Source organism: Homo sapiens, chromosome 3, assembly GCF_000001405.40.
Source record: "Homo sapiens chromosome 3, GRCh38.p14 Primary Assembly".
NCBI classification, from domain to species: Eukaryota; Metazoa; Chordata; class Mammalia; order Primates; family Hominidae; genus Homo; species Homo sapiens.
This window is the reverse complement of record NC_000003.12, coordinates 40,954,968-40,974,152: the sequence shown is the minus strand read 5'-3', so window position 1 is coordinate 40,974,152 and position 19,185 is coordinate 40,954,968. Positions and strand designations below refer to the sequence as shown.

At 40.8% G+C, this 19,185-nt stretch overlaps 4 annotated features.

The window, feature by feature from the left end:
- Window positions 1,842–3,041: an enhancer, noted in NCBI's record as "CDK7 strongly-dependent group 2 enhancer chr3:41012603-41013802 (GRCh37/hg19 assembly coordinates)". NCBI's record gives its function as "activates an origin of replication core promoter dependent on BRD2, BRD4, P300/CBP, MED14 and CDK7 cofactors, with strong dependence on CDK7, by STARR-seq in HCT116 cells {active_cell/tissue: HCT116}" and the evidence as "EXISTENCE:reporter gene assay evidence [ECO:0000049][PMID:35650434]".
- Window positions 2,500–2,549: a silencer, noted in NCBI's record as "silent region_14235". NCBI's record gives its function as "represses an Ori minimal core promoter by ATAC-STARR-seq in GM12878 lymphoblastoid cells {active_cell/tissue: GM12878}" and the evidence as "EXISTENCE:reporter gene assay evidence [ECO:0000049][PMID:35858748]".
- Window positions 4,880–5,380: an enhancer, noted in NCBI's record as "H3K4me1 hESC enhancer chr3:41010264-41010764 (GRCh37/hg19 assembly coordinates)". NCBI's record gives its function as "activates a minimal SCP1, AML or CMV promoter by ChIP-STARR-seq in naive H9 embryonic stem cells {active_cell/tissue: H9 hESC(naive)}" and the evidence as "EXISTENCE:reporter gene assay evidence [ECO:0000049][PMID:30033119]".
- Window positions 12,546–12,735: an enhancer, noted in NCBI's record as "active region_19721". NCBI's record gives its function as "activates an Ori minimal core promoter by ATAC-STARR-seq in GM12878 lymphoblastoid cells {active_cell/tissue: GM12878}" and the evidence as "EXISTENCE:reporter gene assay evidence [ECO:0000049][PMID:35858748]".

Genomic DNA, 19,185 nt, shown 5'->3' with positions numbered 1-19,185 from the left:
GGAAGAAGGGGCTGGAATGTAAGTAGGGAAAAAGGAGTTTGAAGTGAGGCTGGTGACAGCTGGAGCTGGAGCCCGCAGGGATTTGCTGGCCCCATTAGAGTTTTGATTCTGTTCTGAAGCCATTGGAGGATTTAGACCCAAGGAAGGACAGTCTGCTTTGAGCTTTGGCAAGGCCATTCTGGCTTTCTTGTCAGAGCACAATAGAAGCCGGAAGGCTGGTAAGGATGTGATTTCAAGGATTCAGGTAGGAGGAGGTGGGGGCTGGGTCTAGGGAGATGGCCTTGGAGGTGAAAAGAGGTAAATGAATTTGGAAGCATAATAGGACACGGTGATGGACTAACTGTGGGAGTGAGAAGGAGAGAGAAACTCAGGGACAAATTCCAGATTCTCACCTGAGCAACTGGTGGATGCTCGGTGAGAGGAATGGGTTATAGGTTTCATTTTAAACAAATTAAGTTTGAGATAATATGATATATCCAAATGTGTGATATCATCTAGTGAGTCTAGAGCTAGGAAGTGAGGTCTGGGCTGAAAATATACCTTCGAGACTTGTCAGCATTTGCACGATATTTAAAACCACAGGCCAGCTCAGTGTGTAGGGCTCCAACTGACACCCTATTCTTATTCTCTTTTTTGTGCCAACTGGCCTAGAATTTTAATAGAGCCCTGGCTGCCCTGCTGACCCCAGCATGTTCATGCTGCGTCTACAGTGGCCTATGCCAAGGGGTGGTCCCTGGGGCACACCAGACCTCCTCTTCTTCTCTACAACAGTCTTGTGTTAGCAAGGCCAGTCCAACATGACTGGCACCAGAGCCTTACACTATAACACCTTTCTTCTTGGAAAGGCCCCAGGCACCAAGCGCTGTCTGTGAAGAAGACTGGAGAGCCAAGATGTAGAATTAGGCATGTGTGTGGGCTGAGGGCCCAGTGCAGCACATGGAACTTTGTAGGTGAAGTTTTCTGCTTTCCCTGGTTCTAGATCTTTGTATCTCAGGTCCTAGGCTCTTCCCAGTTCTGGAAGATCCCAGTGTCTTTCTCTGAGCTTCCTTTTCTTTTAGAATTGCATGTTCAAGGACCTTTAACAAATACTCAACTCCCTTAACATTTTTTTTTCTAATTTCATCTAAATGTTCACCTAAGCTGTTCATTCTCTGTCTTCTAGAAGTTAGTGAAACAGAATTATCAGAACCAGGCTCTCTTTTGGATGCAGTTGGTGTTTCTCCAAGGTGCTTATTACCTGTTACGGTTATTGCATGCTGGGACTGAGGTATAAACACTTCTGCTCAGGAGACCGAAGGCAGGTTAGGGGAGGCTGTAGGTACCTAGTTGGTAGAGTTTGCTGCAGAATCCTGGAAACAATATTTGGTCTAGGCTCAGACAGCTCTAGTTCAATGCCAAGATCTGCCTGGTATTAGCTGTATGGCATAGGACATGCCATTTATTGTTCCTTCAGTTTCTGCATCGTAAATAGTGATGATTTCAGGATTGTTGTTAGATTATGAGGAATATGGGAGAGTGCTTTGTACACTGTAAACACAATTACAAATGTAGTATGTTTTTCCTGTGCACACTCAGCAATTTGTATGATTAACTCTTTTGCATCTCTGCTTCTCCCTGTTGCTCTAGTTTGTTCACATCCAGGGGGCTAGATCAGACAAGCCTACACAGCTAGTAGCAGGTACGAGGAGGCATCGGATTGTGGCAGCTTCTTCTCTCCAAAGATGCCTCATGTCATTGTGCTTTCAAGGAAAAACAGCAAAGTATTTTTTTCGTTTTTTTTTAATTGGTATGTTGATATCTACTGGCGTACATTTTGTGTAACAATAGGCAAATATTAGGATTGTTAAGATGTTAGAGTAGGGAGAAGGATGCAGGGAATAGAGGACAGAGATAAATTTTACAGTTTGTGAAGATATGCGTGTTCACATCTTGTTTTGTTTTTCCTTTACCCAAACAAATAAATAAGAAAAACTGCCCACTTTGCTCTCTTATCTACCCTTCCTGTGTTCTCATTGGGGCAGAGCTCTGCTGGGGAAGGAAGCGGCCACAACCCCAGGCATTTACTACCTGTTCTCCCCACCTGCTATTTGAGAGAAGTTTTCAAGCTGAAGTTCGTACAGCTGCATTCACTTGGACATGAATATCTGGGAGTTCACGGGTTTGTCTGCCCCTTTGGCCTGAGAGAGCTGGGCGGAAGCCTCCTTGACGTCTGTGTTGACTCTCTGTTTCTCTGGTTTTTCTCTGGCCCAGTTTCCTGTTCACCTCTGTCCTCTGCTGTCTGGTAGGCTTGACTCATAGGAAACCACAGCCAAGTCACCTAGTGGTCTGAGTCACTGACCTTTGGAGCATCTCTTTCTTAAAAAACAATAAAGACAAAAGTAAGTGCCTAAGTAAGTACTGCATTTTGCAATAGATTTCAGCTAAGTATTGCACTGAACGGTTAGTTCTGGGAAGTCCCCACTTGTGACTTATTTTTGGCAACTGTGCTATAAGCAAATCATTTTATCTCCTAGCAACCGACTTCCCTCTTCCCTCCCTCCCTCCCTCCTTTGTATCCACAAGTGTTTGCTGAGAACCCTTTGTGTCCAGGCACTACATTAGGTTCTGAGCACAAAATGAAGACATAGAATGGTCCTCAACAAGCTGCTGATGCCCATAAGAAAGAGGCCTGCAAACATGTGTAAACAAGTGTGACAAGTTCACCGGCAAGGGGCAGCACAGGGTGGCACTGAACTCAGCCTCGGTATTGCCCTGACCACATGGCTGCATGTGAGCATGCCAGGTGAGGTGAGCAGGAGAGATGTTCTAGGCAGCGTTGGATGATTCTCTGTCACATTCCTTTGTGGTCAACTGAATTGCTCTCTTCAACTGCAGCTTTCACTGAGGCCACTTGAGGTTGCACAACTCCTTCCAGACACAGGTGAGCTCCACAGAGGGAGGATATGGACAAGGGGCTAGATTGGAAGGAAGATGGAGGAGAGTGATCCTTACAGCCCTGACATCGGTCAAGGGAGGCTAATAGCAGTGACCTTCCCCATCAATGTCATGTGGACTGGACAGCAATGACCAGGTGATCCATTGGTGGGGAAGTGTCCCCACAGGGACAATGGGGAACAGTCTATTCAGAAGGGACAATATGCTCGTAGCTGATGCTTTTGGCACCCTGTAACAAATCCCCTCAGCACACCTATGATTTTGTCACAGATCTGGTAGAGAGTGCAATGTGGGTTCCCATGACAATGCCCTCTTGAAACATGAAAAATGCTTCCCTGTTTTTTTGCCTCAAAGCCATCTCTGAAACTGGGAGCCCAGTCAGCCCCCAAGCAAGTACAACCTGCAAGTATGGAGAGGTAACGCCCTAGGAGCCATCTCTAACCAGTGAAGAATGAGAGCCAGTAAGCAAGTCTAGCCACTCCTCTTTTGGAGGGAACATTCTAGAAGGCATTCTGCACACTTGCCAAAGGTCACAGAAGAATTGAGCCCCTGTTGCCCAAAGCAGCAACCTTAATGATGCACACTCAGTGGCTTTTCATTCTTCCCTGTCTCACTCTCTCCCTTTTCTTTCACCTCTGCTTTTTGGGATCTCCTCCCAAATAAACCACCTGCACCAAGTCCTTGTGTCTAGTCTCAGGCTGTGATTTTAAGGGAGCCCAAACTAAGAGAGCAATATTATTAAAATTAAAGTTTTGAAATGAAAAGCATTTGAAGGTCCACTAGCAGTCTCCTTAAAATACCACCTACTACCTTTTGGTATTACCATTTATACCTGAGCCAGAGGAAAGGAGAATTCCAAAAAAGGCCTTAAAAACCCTCTGACCCACAGGAAATAGCTGCCATCTAGTCAGGCTGGGCAAAGGGCTTAGTAATACAGAAAGTGAAAAGGGGCTCATGGGGGCCTTAGCAGGGTGACTCAATTTAGTGGGTGAGAAGGAATTCTTGTTTAACTTAGGGGAAAACTACTGGGTAATATTCTTTTCCCTAGTCATAATGGTTACATTAAAAAAAAAAAAAACCCACATCGCTAGAAGGGCTAATGGTTAAGAAAAGATTGGGACAATGAGGCTCTATATGAACTAAAACGCTTATATTGTTACATTCATAAAAGCATGTTGAATTAAGAAAATAACAGGAATTTTATAGTTTGAAAATGAAAATAAAAGTTAATAGACACAAGGCTTCAAGATGGCTGACTAGAGGCATCTGGTACTTGCTTCCTCTGCAAAGAACTGAAACAGTGAGTGGATAATCACACTTAGAATAGATCATCTAAGAGGGAACACTGGAATGCAACAGGAAAGCGATAGGAAACACCTAAAGCAAGGAAGGAGAGGAAAGCAAGGCAGCCTGATTGGCTAGGAGTATGGAGAGGCTCTCCAATGCAGGAAAAGGGTAAGTCAGAGACCCCCAGTGGTCTGCATTCCCAACACAGACTCCTGCAATCCTAGCCACGAAAGAACCTCTTGACCACCAAGGCTGAAGTGCAAGCTGCTGCACATTTTCATGAGCCCTGAGGATAGACACTCCCACCTGCCACTGCCGCTTGGGGCTGAAATACATGCTCCCCAGCCACCTGCCTACTGCTTCTGCCACTCAAAGCAACCCTTCCCTCCCTAGGAGGGCTGCAGTGAAGCTGCTGCCACCTGCACTCATGTAAGCATTCCTCCAGAGCCTGAAAATCACCCAACCCCTGCCTACCACAGCCAGCACCTGCATGTGCAACCAGGTCCTCCTGGCCCAGCTTCACCCTCTCCAATGCCCAAGCATGCTTCCCGGGGGCCTGAGGATTACCTAACCCCATCCACCATCATTGATACCTAAGCACTCCTCCAGAGGGCTTGAGGTTGAGCCCACCCAATGTGTCACTACCACTACAGCTGGCACCTACCCACACATGCCACATATGGGCCTGGGGACTGGCCCACCCATCCTGTTGCAGCCACCCGCAATACCAGTGCAGGCTGCTCAGGAGCCAGACAGTTGTTCCACCACTGATACTGCCATTGCCCATGTCATGCTTGCTGTTCAGGGTCTGAAGCCTACTCACCCATCCACCAGGTCCATGATGGCAACTACTAGCACCTGAGCAAGTCCTCAAGGGGCCCAAGAATTGACCCACCTGAACCTGTGAACACTGATGCCAGTGTATGCTGCCCTAGGGCCCAAGGACAGGAATGCTCAGTTTGCCACTGCCATTGCTGAAGCCCATGGACTGATTTACCTGGTGTTTCCATCCTCAGCAAAACTTCACCACAGCCTCCATTAACAACTGCACCCTAAGCCACAAATACCACTGAATGCTGTTTATAGCCAAATAAACCATATGAAGACCACACTATTGCAGGCACTCAGAATCAAAGCCAAAGTGCCCTACCCAGCTAATACCATAGACACACGTTCAGAAAAAAGTCCTCCCCTACAAAAGGAAATACAAAAAGTTGGTAGAAGTAACTATTACACCAGATGCACAGATAATGTAAAGAACACAAGAGACAGAAAAAAGCAAGGAAATATGACACCTCCAAATGAACACAAAAATTCTCCAGCAGTAGATTTCAATGAAAAAAATTTATGAAATTCTGGAAAAAGAATTCAAAATAATATGATTAAAGAAACAGTGAGGTATAAGAAAACACAGATAAATAATATAAGAAATCAGGAATGTGATTCAGATTCTGAATGAGAAATATACCAAAACAGATAGCTACCATCAAAAAGAACAAAATTTTAGAACTGAAAAACTTTGCATTGAATAAAATGCGAAATACATTTGAAAATTTCAAGAATAGATCAGATTGAACAGGAAAAAAAAAGTCAGAATTAAAGACAGGACTTTTGAAATAACCCAGTCAAACAACAATAAAGAAAAAAGAATGAACAAAGCCTACGTAACATACAGAATACCATAAAGCAATCAAAAAAATTTCTGGTTTAGAATTTCTTAGAATTTCATATTGCCTTGCTTTTTCATGTTTCTTGTGTTCCTACATTTTTGTCTGTGCGTCTTGTGTAACAGTTACTTCTTCCAATTCTTTGAATTTGCTTTTGTAGAGGAGAACTTTTTTCTGAAGATACATATGATGTTGATTGGGTAGGGCTCTTTGGCTTTGATTCTGGGTGCATGCAGTAGTATAATCTTCATATGATTTCTTTGGCTATAAACAGAAGGCAAAGAGGAAATGAAAGGGATGGAAGACCTATTTGACAAAATAATAACTGAAAACTTCCCAAGTCTAGCAAGAGATTTAGATATTGAGATACAGGAAACTCAGAGATCCTCAAATAGATACAATTTAAAAAGATCTTCATGGCACATTATAGTCAAACTGTCAAAGGTCAAAGACAGAGTATTCTTAAAACAGCAAGAGGAAAGCATCTAGTCACTTATAGAGGAACTTGCTTCAGACAAACAGTAGATTCTCAGCAGAAACCTTATAGGACAGGAAATAATAAAATGATATATTCAAGTGCCAAAACAAAATAAACCTGCCAGTCAAAGATACTATACCTAGGAAACTTATTCTTCATAAATGAGGGAGAAATAAAGTCTTTCCTAACAAGCAAAAGCTGAGGGAACTTATCATCACTAGACAAGCCCCAAAAGAAATGCTTAAGGGAGTCCTACAGCTGGAAGTCAAAGGATAATATCTACCATCAGAAAAATAATGAAAGTATAAAACCCACTAGTAGAAGAAACTCACAAATAAAGAAGGGAAAGAATTCAATTGTTACCACTATAGAAAACCACAAAATCACAAGGATAAACAATAAGTAAAAAGAAAAGAATAAAAGACATATAAAGCAATCAGAAATCAATTAATAAAATGATAGGAATAAGCCATCACATATCAAAAATAGCCTTGAATATAAATAGATGATACAGTTAAAAGATATACACTGACTGAATGGATTAAAAAATGACCCAACTATATGCTGCCTATAAGAAACTCACCTCACATGTAAAGACACATAAAGTCTGAAAGTAAAGGAATGGAACAAAGATATTCCAAGCAAATGGAAACCAAAAGTAAGCAGGAATAGCTATTCTTACATCAGACAACAGACTTTAGGTCAAAAACAATGAAAAGAAACAAAGAAATCTATTATATAATAATAAAGGGATCAATTTAGCAAGAGAATATAACAATTCAAAACAGAGACACACCCAAAAATGGAGCACTCAGATATATAAAGCAAATATCATTAGATCTAAGGGGACAGACAGACTCCTATACAACAATAATAGGGACTTGAACACCCTACTCTCAGCATCAGATAGATCATCTAGACAGAAAATTAACAAATATACATTGAATTGGAACCACACATTAGACTAAATGGATGTAACAGACATTTATAAAACATTCCGTCTAACAGCTACAAAACGCACATTCTTCTCATTAGCACATGGAACATTCTTTAGGATAGACCGTATGTTAGGCCACAAAACAGGTCTCCACAACTTAAAAAAAATATCATATAAGTATTTTCTCAGACCACAGTGGAATGTAACTAGAAATCAATAGCAAGAGGAACTTTGAAAACTGTACAAATACATGCAAATTAAACAACATACTCCTAAATTATCATTTGATCAGGGAAGAAATTAAGGAGGAAAACTTTTAAAATTGTGGAAATAAATGAAAATTGAAACATACTATACCAAAACCTATGGGATGCAGAAAAAACAGTGCTAAGAGGGAAGTTTATAGCAATAAACACCTACATCAAAAAAGTAAAAAGATTTCACATAAACGATCTAATTATGGACCTCGGGGAACTAAAAGGCAAGGACAAATCAAACCCCAAAGTAGTAGAAGTGAAGAAATAATAAAGATCATAGCAGAATTAGAAATAGAAACTAAAAAATAATGCAAAGAATCAATGAAATGAAAAATTGGTTTCGCCTGGGTGCAGTGGCTCACACCTAGGACTTTGGGAGGGCAAGGCGGGAGGATTGCTTAAGCCCAGGAGTTCAAGACCAGCCTGAGCAACATGACAAAGCCCCGTCTCTACCAAAAATACAAAAAATTAGTGCATGTCTGTGGTCCCAGCTACTTGGGAGACTGAGGTGAGAGAATCACTTGAGCCCAGGAGGCAGAGTTGCAGTGAACCAAGACTGTGCCACTGCACTCCAGCCTTGGTGGCAGAGGGAGACCCTGTCTCAAAATAAATAAATAAATAATAAAAAATAAAAGCTGGCTTTTTGAAAAGATAAATTTTATAAACCACTAGCTAGATTAACCAAGAAAAAAAAAGAGAGAAGACCCAAGTAAACAAAATCAGAAATAAAAAAGAAAACATCAGAGGTGATACCACAGAAATACAAAAGATCAAAAGAAACTCTTTCACTAACAAACTGAAAAATCTAGAGTAAACGAATACATTTCTGGACACATACAACCTACCAAGGTTGAATCAGGAAAAATAGAAAAACTGAGCAAACTAATAATGAGTAATGAGATTGAAGCAGTAAAAAAAAGTCTCCCAACAAAGAAAAGTCCAGGACAGGATGGCTTCACTGCTGAATTCTATTAGCCTTACAAAGAACTAACAACAATTCTCCTCAAACTATTCCAGAAAAACTAAAGAGGAAGAAATTCTTCCTAATTCATTCTAAAAGACCAGCATCACCCTGGTACCAAAACTAGACAAAGACTCAACAAAACTACAAAACTACAGGTTAATATCCCTGATGAACATATATGCAAAAATTCTCAGGAAAATACTAGCAGAACAAATTTAGTAGCACATTAAAAAGATCATTCAGCCAGGCGTGGTGGCTCACGCCTGTAATCTCAGCACTTTGGGAGGCTGAGGCAGGTGGATCACCTGAAGTCAGGAATTCGAGACCAGCCTGGTCAACATGGTGAAACTCCCATCTCTACTAAAAATACAAAAATTAGCCAGGCGTGGTGGCACAGGCCTGTAAGCCCAGCTACTTGGGAGGCTGAGGCAGGAGAAGCACTTGAACCCAGGAGGCGGAGGTTGCAGTGAGCTGAGATCGTGTCATTGCACTCTGGCCTGGGGTACAAGAGCAAAATTCCATCTCAAAAAAAAAAAATTCACCATGATCAAATGGGATTTATTCCAGGGATGCAAAGATTCAACATACACAAATCAATAAACATGATACATCACATCAACAGAATAAAGGACAAAAACCATATAGTCATCTCAATAGATGCAGAAAAAGCAGTTAATAAAATTCAACATCACTTCATGATTAAAAAAAAAAACCTCTCAAAAAAAAAACAAGACTTAGAAGGAACATACTTCAACCGTAAATTAGGACTGTAAATGACAAACCCACAGCTAATATCATACTGGATGGGGAAAAACTGAGTCTTTCCTCTAAGAACTAGAAAAAGATAGGATGCCCATTTTCACCACTACTATTCAACACAGTAATGGAAGTCCTAGCCAGAGCAACTGGTCAAGAGAAAGAAGTACCAGGCATCCATGTTGAAAGAGAGGGAGTCAAAGTATCCCTCTCTGCAGATGACATAATCTCATTTCTAGAAAACCCTAACGATTCCACCAAAAAACTCTTAGAACTGACCAATAAATTCAGTAAAGCTGCAGAATACAAAATCAACATATTTTCAGCTAGCTGAGAAAGAAGTCAAGAAGGCAATTCCATTTGCAATAGCTAAAAACAAAAACAAAAACAAACAAACAAAAAACCTGAGAATAACTTTAGCCAAGGAGGTGAAAGAACTCCACAAGGAAAACCACAAAACACTGATGAAATAAGTTAAAGAGGACACAGACAAATGACCAAACAGCAAGATATTCCATGAACATGGATTGGAAGAATCAATATTATTAAAATAACCATACTTGCAAAAGCAATCTACAGATTTAATGCAATCCCTAGGAAAATAACAATGGCATTCTTCACAGAAATAGAAAAAAAACTCCTAAAATTCATATGGAACCAAAAAAAGCCCAAATAGGCAAAGCTATTCTGAGCAAAAAGAAAAAAGCTGGAGGCACCACACTACCTGACTTCAAAATATATTACAAGGCTATAGTAGTCAAAAAGGCATGGTATTGGTAATAAAAGCAGACACATAGACCAATGGAATAGAATAGAGAACCTAGAAATAAATCCTCATATTTATAGCCAACTCATTTGAGACAAAGATGCCAAGAACATACATGGGGGAAAGGACAGTCTGTTTAGTACAGGGTACTGGGAAAATTGGATAGTCATTTGCAGAAAAATGAAACTGGGCCCTCATCTCTCACCATACACAAAAGTCAACTCAAGATAGATTAAAGACATAAACGTAAGACTGAAAAGTATGAAACTACTAGAAGAAAATATAAAAAAACATTTTAGGATGTTGGTCTAGGCAAAGATTTTATGGCTAAGACCTCAAAAGCACAGACAACAAAAACAAAAACAGACAAATGGGACTTAATTAAACTAAAAGCTTCTGCACAGCAAAATAAACAATCAACAGAGTGAAGAGAAAACCTGTTGAATGGGAGAACATATTTGCAAACTCTTCATCTGACAAGGAACTAATATCCATAATATACAAGGAATGCAAACAACTTACCAACAGAAAAAACAAATAATCCCATTAAGAAGTGGGCAAAAGACATGGATAGACATTTCTCAAAATAGCCCATACAAATGGTCAACAGGTCTATGAAAAAGTGCTCGACATCACTATCAACAGTGAAATGCAAATCAAAATCTCAGTGAAAATGAAATATCATTTCACCTAAGTCAGAATGGCTATTACCCCAAGACAAAAAATAACAGATGCTGGTGTAGATGTGGAGAATAGGGAACTCATACACTGCTGGTGGTAATGTAAATTAATACAGCCACCATGGAAAACAGTATGGAGGTATCTCAAAACACTAAAAATAGAACTACCATATGATTCAGTAATCCCTACTACTAGAAATTTCTTCAAAGGAAAAAAATCAGTATATCAAAACGATATCTACAAGCCCATGCAACAAGCAGTACTACTCACAATGGCAAAGATGTGAAATCAATCTAAGTGTCCATCAATGAATGAATGAATGAAGAAAAGGTGGTATATATACACAATGAAATACAAGTTGGCCATAAAAAAGAATGATTTTATGTCATTTGCAACAACATGGATGGAACTGGAGGTCACTATGTTAAGTGAAATAAGCCATGCACAGAAAGATAAACATTGCATGTTCTCACTAATACGTGGGAGCTAAAAAATGTTGATCTCACGGAGGTAGAGTAGAATGATAGACATCAGAGGTTGGGAAGGATGTGTGGGTGGGGTTTGGGAGGTGAGTTTGATTAATGGATAGAAACATACAGTAAGATTGAAGAAATAAGTCTTAATGTTCAATAGCAGAGTAGGATGACTGTAGTTAACAACAATGTATTAAGTATTTCAAAATAACTAGAAGAGAGGACTTGAAATGTTTTCAACACATAAAAATGATAAATACTTGAGGTGACAGATACCCCAAATATTCTAACTGGATCATTACACATTCTATGCATATAACAAAGTATCACATGTACCCCATAAATATGTATCAATTAAAAAGTTAATAGATAATTTTTTATGTCTTTGATCACAAGATAATATGCTAAAGTAATGAAGGGGTGATATAGGGAAAAGAAAGATTGTTTTGGAAAGAAGAAGTGTCAAGATCCCTTTTCTCCTCTAAGTAACTTTTGAAACACCACATATGGAGAGAGACTCATGTATTTGGTAAGGTGTGGTAATTCCCACCCAAATATTTCAGGACACTCTTAATTTCTTTTAATTTTACTTTTATCATTATAAGGTCAGCTAACACAGTGAGTGTGCTCTGTGTGCCAGAAACTGGGCTATGTGCCTACAGTATTTGCATATTTTGTGACTCATTGATAGCACAATCGTTTTGTAAGGTAGGTCATAGCATCCATAGTTTTATAGATGAGAAAACTGAGGCTCCATTAAGCATGCACTGTGATCTAATTTAATTTTAAAACCTTGAAAGGTTTTTCATATAGATATAGTTATACATTGAAAAAAACTTGTCAGACCACATAAATTGATGTTTAGTTAAAAAACATGATCATTTAAAAAGTATTGGGGTAAACGCTGTTTAAAAACACTTCAAGCAATTTTGCCTTTGGGAAAGGGAATTTATTTTCAGAAAGAAAACAATCCTTTTCTTTAAGAAAATGCTTGAATAGCCCTTTTGGTTATAAATGAGCTCCCTGGTCCTTGTCAAGACAAAAGGAGGGAAATTACTCAGCCTCAATAATTTAATATTGGAGTTTTTGGATTTTCCCTAGTGATCCCAGTAGTCAAGAATTGGGGTGCCAGTTGGTAAAATATACCCAAGGCAGTGATGGTCAGCTTTGTTACTCTTTGGTCTTGTGCAGTATTTCCCCTTTGTTATCTGCAAACATTTAGGGAATCTCCTTATCTATAAAGCCCTGTATTAGTGGTATCTGCGGGGGAGGAAGGGGGAAGCAGCTACATTGATGTCTGGGGCAAAAAAATGCCAAGAGAACACAACAGCCAGTAGGAACAGAGATGAGATAGAAGTCACTAAGCAAAAGCTAGAAGCAGCTTAGAGAGAGAGGAGGCACCTCTAATTCTTCACCTTTAGAAATATTTAGAAAGGGGCTTAATTTATTGCAGAACTAGTCTGAATGAGATTTCAGTTTTGCTTGCTTACGCCCCACCCCCATGCCCAGATATTATAAGAAACGGAAACTCAGTGAGTTCAGAAAGGTCACAAAGGGAACATGAGGCGTTAACATATGATATTGGACTGAACCAATGTCCTAAAAAAGGAAAATAAATGATGATTTTGTAGGAACTTCCCAAACTCACTATTCTTTTACATCAATGGAAAGCCCACTAATTAGATAAGTGACAGCTGAAATTTGATTTTGTTTCTTTTCTTATTCATCACCCTTGTTCGGTAAATGTGAAACATGATGACTCAATAAATTATACCAAGAATGACATCAGCAAAGTAGTGAAATAAGAGGTCCCCAGCTCTCATATCCCTAAAGAAACAATAATTTGATGATCATCCATGGACAAATGTGCCTTTGTAGGAGCCTTAGGATCCAGGTAGGAGGCTGCAAAACACTGGTGGACATCAAAACCCAGGAGGGCCACTTTGAGAAGGCAGGCCTGAGGCCCAGTGGCTGTGGTACGGTCCTGGTTGGGGACCTGGAATCTTTCGTGCCCTCTTATGGACTTGGCTCCTGCCCCACTTAGCTGCAATTTTGCCACCAGCACCATCCTGCAAGGGATCTGATAGGAGCCATACCCAACAGCAACTCTGGTAACAACCATAAAAAATAGAAAAATTCACAAATACATGAAAAATAAACACTGCACTTTTGAACAACCATTGGGTTGAAGAAGAAACCAAAAGGGAATTTAAAAAATACCCCAAGACAGACAAAAATGGAAACACAACATTTATGACATATAGTACTAAGAAGGAAGTTGATAGCAATAAATGCCTATATTAAAAAGAGCCAGATGCAGTAGCTCACACCTATAATTTCAGCATTTTGGGAGGCCAAAGTGGGAGGATCACTTGGGCTCAGGAGTTTGAAATCAGCTTGGGCAACATAGTGAGACCTTATCTCTATTTTTTTAAAAAAATTAGCCAGTTGTAGTGGTGTGTGCCCATAATCCCAGCCACTAGAGAGGCTGAGGCAGGAAGATCACTTGGACCCAGAAGTTCGAGGCTGCAGTGAGCCATGATTGCATCTGCACTCCAGCCTGAGCAATAGAGTGAGACCCTGTCAAAAAAGAAAAAAAAAAAAAGGAAATATCTCAAATAAACAACATACCTTTATATTTTAAGAAACCAGCAGTAGGCCTGGCACAGTGGCTTATTTCTATAATCTTAGAACTTTGGGAGGCCGAAGCAGGTGGACTGCTTGAGACCAGGCATTCGAGACCAGCCTGAGCAACATGGTAAAATACAATCTCAACAAAAGTATAAAAATTAGCCAGGCATGGTGATGTGCACCTGTAGTCCTAACTACTTGGGAGGCTGAGGTGGGAAGATCAACTGAGCCCAGGGAACACAAGGCTGCAGTGAGCCATGATCATGCTATTGCACTCAAACATGATCATGCGAGTGTGGCAGCCAAGATGGTCGAATAGGTCTGCAGCTCCGGTCTGCAGCTCCCAGTGTGAGCAACCCAGAAGATGGGAGATTTCTGCATTTCCATCTGAGGTAACGGGTTCATCTCACTAGGGAGTGCCAGACAGTGGGCGCAGGTCAGTGGGTGCAGCGCACCCTACGCGAGCCGAAGCAGGGCGAGGCATTGCCTCACTCCGGAAGCGCAAGGGGTCAGGAAGTTCCCTTTCCTAGTCAAAGAAAGGGGTGATGGATGGCACCTGGAAAATCGGGTCACTCCCACCCTAATACTGCGCTTTTCCGACGGGCTTAAAAAATGGCGTACCACGAGATTATATCCCGCACCTGGCTCAGAGGGTCCTACGCCCACAGAGTCTCGCTGATTGCTAGCACAGCAGTCTGAGATCAAACTGCAAGGCAGCAGCGAGGCTGGGGGAGGGGCGCCCACCATTGCCCAGGCTTGCTTAGGTAAACAAAGCAGCCAGGAAGCTCGAACTGGGTGGAGCCCACCACAGCTCAAGGAGGCCTGCCTGCCTCTGTGGGCTCCACCTCTGGGGGCAGGGCACAGACAAACAAAAAGACAGCAGTAACCTCTGCAGACTTAAATGTCCCTGTCTGACAGCTTTGAAGAGAGCAGTGGTTCTCCCAGCACGCAGCTGGAGATCTGAGAACAGGGAGACTGCCTCCTCAACTGGGTCCCTGACCCCTGACCCCCGAGCAGCCTACCTGGGAGGCACACCCCAGTAGGGACAGACTGACACCTCACATGACCGGGTACTCCTCTGAGACAAAACTTCCAGAGAAACGATCAAACAGCAGCATTCACAGTTCACGAAAATCGACTGTTCTGCAGCCACCGCTGCTGACATCCAGGCAAACAGGGTCTGGAGTGGACCTCTAGCAAACTCCAACAGACCTGCAGCTGAGGGTCCTGTCTGTTAGAAGGAAAACTAACAAACAGAAAGGACATCCACACCAAAAACCCATCTGTACAACACCATCATCAAAGACCAAAAGTAGATAAAACCACAAAGATGGGGAAAAAACAGAGCAGAAAAACTGGAAACTCTAAAAAGCAGAGTGCCTCTCCTCCTCCAAAGGAATGCAGCTCCTCACCAGCAATGGAACAAAGCTGGACGGAGAATGACTTTGACGAGTTGAGAGAAGAAGGCTTCAGACGATCAAACTACTCTGAGCTACAGGAGGAAATTCAAACCAAAGGCAAAGAAGTTGAAAACTTTGAAAAAAATTTAGACTAATGTATAACTAGAATAACCAATACAGAGAAGTGCTTAAAGGAGCTGATGGAGCTGAAAACCAAGGCTCGAGAACTACGTGAAGAATGCAGAAGCCTCAGAAGCCAATGCGATCAACTGGAAGAAAGGGTATCAGTGATGGAAGATGAAATGAATGAAATGAAGTGAGAAGGGAAGTTTAGAGAAGAAAGAATAAAAAGAAATGAACAAAGCCTCCAGGAAATATGGGACTATGTGAAAAGACCAAATCTGCGTCTGACTCGTGTACCTGAAAGTGACGGGGAGAATGGAACCAAGTTGGAAAACACTCTGCAGGATATTATCCAGGAGAACTTCCCCAATCTAGCAAGGCAGGCCAACGTTCAGATTCAGGAAATACAGAGAACGCCACAAAGATACTCCTCGAGAAGAGCAACTCCAAGACACATAATTGTCAGATTCACCAAAGTTGAAATGAAGGAAAAAATGTTAAGGGCAGCCAGAGAGAAAGGTCAGGTTACCCACAAAGGGAAGCCCGTCAGACTAACAGTGGATCTCTCAGTAGAAACTCTATAAGCCAGAAGAGAGTGGGAGCCAATATTCAACATTCTTAAAGAAAAGAATGTTCAACCCAGAATTTCATACCCAGCCAAACTAAGCTTCATAAGTGAAGGAGAAATAAAATACTTTACAGACAAGCAAATGCTGAGAGATTTTGTCACCACCAGGCCTGCCCCGAAAGAGCTCCTGAAGGAAGCACTAAACATGGAAAGGAACAACTGGTACCAGCCACTGCAAAATCAGGCCAAATTGTAAAGACCATCAAGGCTAGGAAGAAACTGCACCAACTAACGAGCAAAATAACCAGCTAACATCATAATGACAGGATCAAATTCACACATAACAATATTAACTTTAAATGTAAATGGACTAAATGCTCCAATTAAAAGACACAGACTGGCAAATTGGATAAAGAGTCAAGACCCATCAGTGTGCTGTATTCAGGAAACCCATCTCACGTGCAGAGACACACATAGGCTCAAAATAAAAGGATGGAGGAAGATCTACCAAGCAAATGGAAAACTAAAAAAGGCAGGGGTTGCAATCCTAGACTCTGATAAAACAGACTTTAAACCAACAAAGATCAGAAGAGACAAAGAAGGACATTACATAACGGCAAAGGGATCAATTCAACAAGAAGAGCTAACTATCCTAAATATATATGCACCCAATACAGGAGCACCCAGATTCATAAAGCAAGTCCTGAGTGACCTACAAAGAGACTTAGACTCCCACACAATAATAATGGGAGATTTTAACACCCCACTGTCAACATTAGACAGATCAAAGAGACAGAAAGTCAACAAGGATATCCAGGAATTGAACTCAGCTCTGCACCAAGCAGACCTAATAGACATCTACAGAACTCTCCACCCCATATCAACAGAATATACATTTTTTTCACCACCACACCACACCTATTCCAAAATTGACCACATACCTGGAAGTAAAGCTCTCCTCAGCAAATGTAAAAGAACAGAAATTATAACAAACTATCTCTCAGACCACAGTGCAATCAAACTAGAACTCAGGATTAAGAAACTCACTCAAAACCGCTCAACTACATGGAAACTGAACAACCTGCTCCTGAATGACTACTGGGTACATAACGAAATGAAGACAGAAATAAAGATGTTCTTTGAAACCAACGAGAACAAAGACACAACATACCAGAATCTCTGGGACACATTCAAAGCAGTGTGTAGAGGGAAATTTATAGCACTAAATGCCCACAAGAGAAAGCAGGAAAGATCCAAAATTGACACCCTAACATCACAATTAAAAGAACTAGAAAAGCAAGAGCAAACACATTCGAAAGCTAGCAGAAGGCAAGAAATAACTAAAATCAGAGCAGAACTGAAGGAAATAGAGACACAAAAAACCCTTCAAAAAATTAATGAATCCAGGAGCTGGTTTTTTGAAAAGATCAACAAAATTGATAGACCACTAGCAAGACTAATAAAGAAGAAAAGAGAGAAGAATCAAATAGATGCAATAAAAAATGATAAAGGGGATATCACCACTGATCCCACAGAAATACAAACTACCATCAGAGAATACTACAAACACCTCTACGCAAACAAACTAGAAAATCTAGAAGAAATGGATAAATTCCTCAACACATACACCCTCCCAAGACTAAACCAGGAAGAAGTTGAATCTCTGAATAGACCAATAACAGGCTCTGAAATTGTGGCATAATCAATAGCTTACCAACCAAAAAGAGTCCAGAACCAGATGGATTCACAGCCGAATTCTACCAGAGGTACAAGGAGGAACTGGTACCATTCCTTCTGAAACTATTCCAATCAATAGAAAAAGAGGGAATCCTCCCTAACTCATTTTGTGAGGCCAGCATCATTCTGATACCAAAGCCGGGCACAGACACAACCAAAAAAAGAGAATTTTAAACCAATATCCTTGATGAACATTGATGCAAAAATCCTCAATAAAATACTGGCAAATCGAATCCAGCAGCACATCAAAAAGCTTATCCACCATGATCAAGTGGGCTTCATCCCTGGGATGCAAGGCTGGTTCAATATATGCAAATCAATAAATGTAATCCAGCATATAAACAGAACCAAAGAGAAAAACCACATGATTATCTCAACAGATGCAGAAAAGGCCTTTGACAAAATTCAACAACCCTTCATGCTAAAAACTCTCAATAAATTAGGTATTGATGGGACGTATCTCAAAATAATGAGAGCTATCTATGACAAACCCACAGCCAATATCATACTGAATGAGCAAAAACTGGAAGCATTCCCTTTGAAAACTGGCACAAGACAGGGATGCCCTCTTTCACCACTCCTATTCAACAGAGTGTTGGAACTTCTGGCCAGGGCCATTAGGCAGGAGAAGGAAATAAAGGGTATTCAATTAGGAAAAGAGGAAGTCAAATTGTCCCTGTTTGCAGTGACATGATTGTATATCTAGAAAACCCCATTGTCTCAGCCCAAAATCTCCTTAAGCTGATAAGCAACATCAGCAAAGTCTCAGGTTACAAAATCAATGTACAAAAATCACAAGATTCTTATATACCAATAACAGACAAACAGAGAGCCAAATCATGAGTGAACTCCCATTCACAATTGCTTCAAAGAGAACAAGATACCTAGGAATCCAACTTACAAGGGACGTGAAGGACCTCTTCAAGGAGAACTACAAACCACTGCTCAATGAAATAAAAGAGGATACAAACAAATGGAAGAACATTCCATGCTCATGGGTAGGAAGAATCAATATCATGAAAATGGCCATACTGCCCAAGGTAATTTACAGATTCAGTGCCATCCCCAACAAGCTACCAATGACTTTCTTCACAGAATTGGAAATAACTATTTTCAAGTTCATATGGAACCAAAAAAGAGCCTGCATCGCCAAGTCAATCCTAAGCCAAAAGAACAAAGCTGGAGGCATCACACTACCTGACTTCAAACTATACTACAAGGCTACAGTAACCAAAACAGCATGGTACTGGTACCAAAACAGAGATATAGATCAATGGAACAGAACAGAGCCCTCAGAAATAATGCCGCATATCTACAACTATCTGATCTTTGACAAACCTGAGAAAAACAAGCAATGGGGAAAGGATTCCCTATTTAATAAATGGTGCTGGGAAAACTGGCTAGCCATATGTAGAAAGCTGAAACTGGATCCCTTCCTTACACCTTATACAAAAATTAATTCGAGATGGATTAAAGACTTAAACGTTAGACCTAAAACCACAAAAACTCTAGAAGAAAACCTAGGC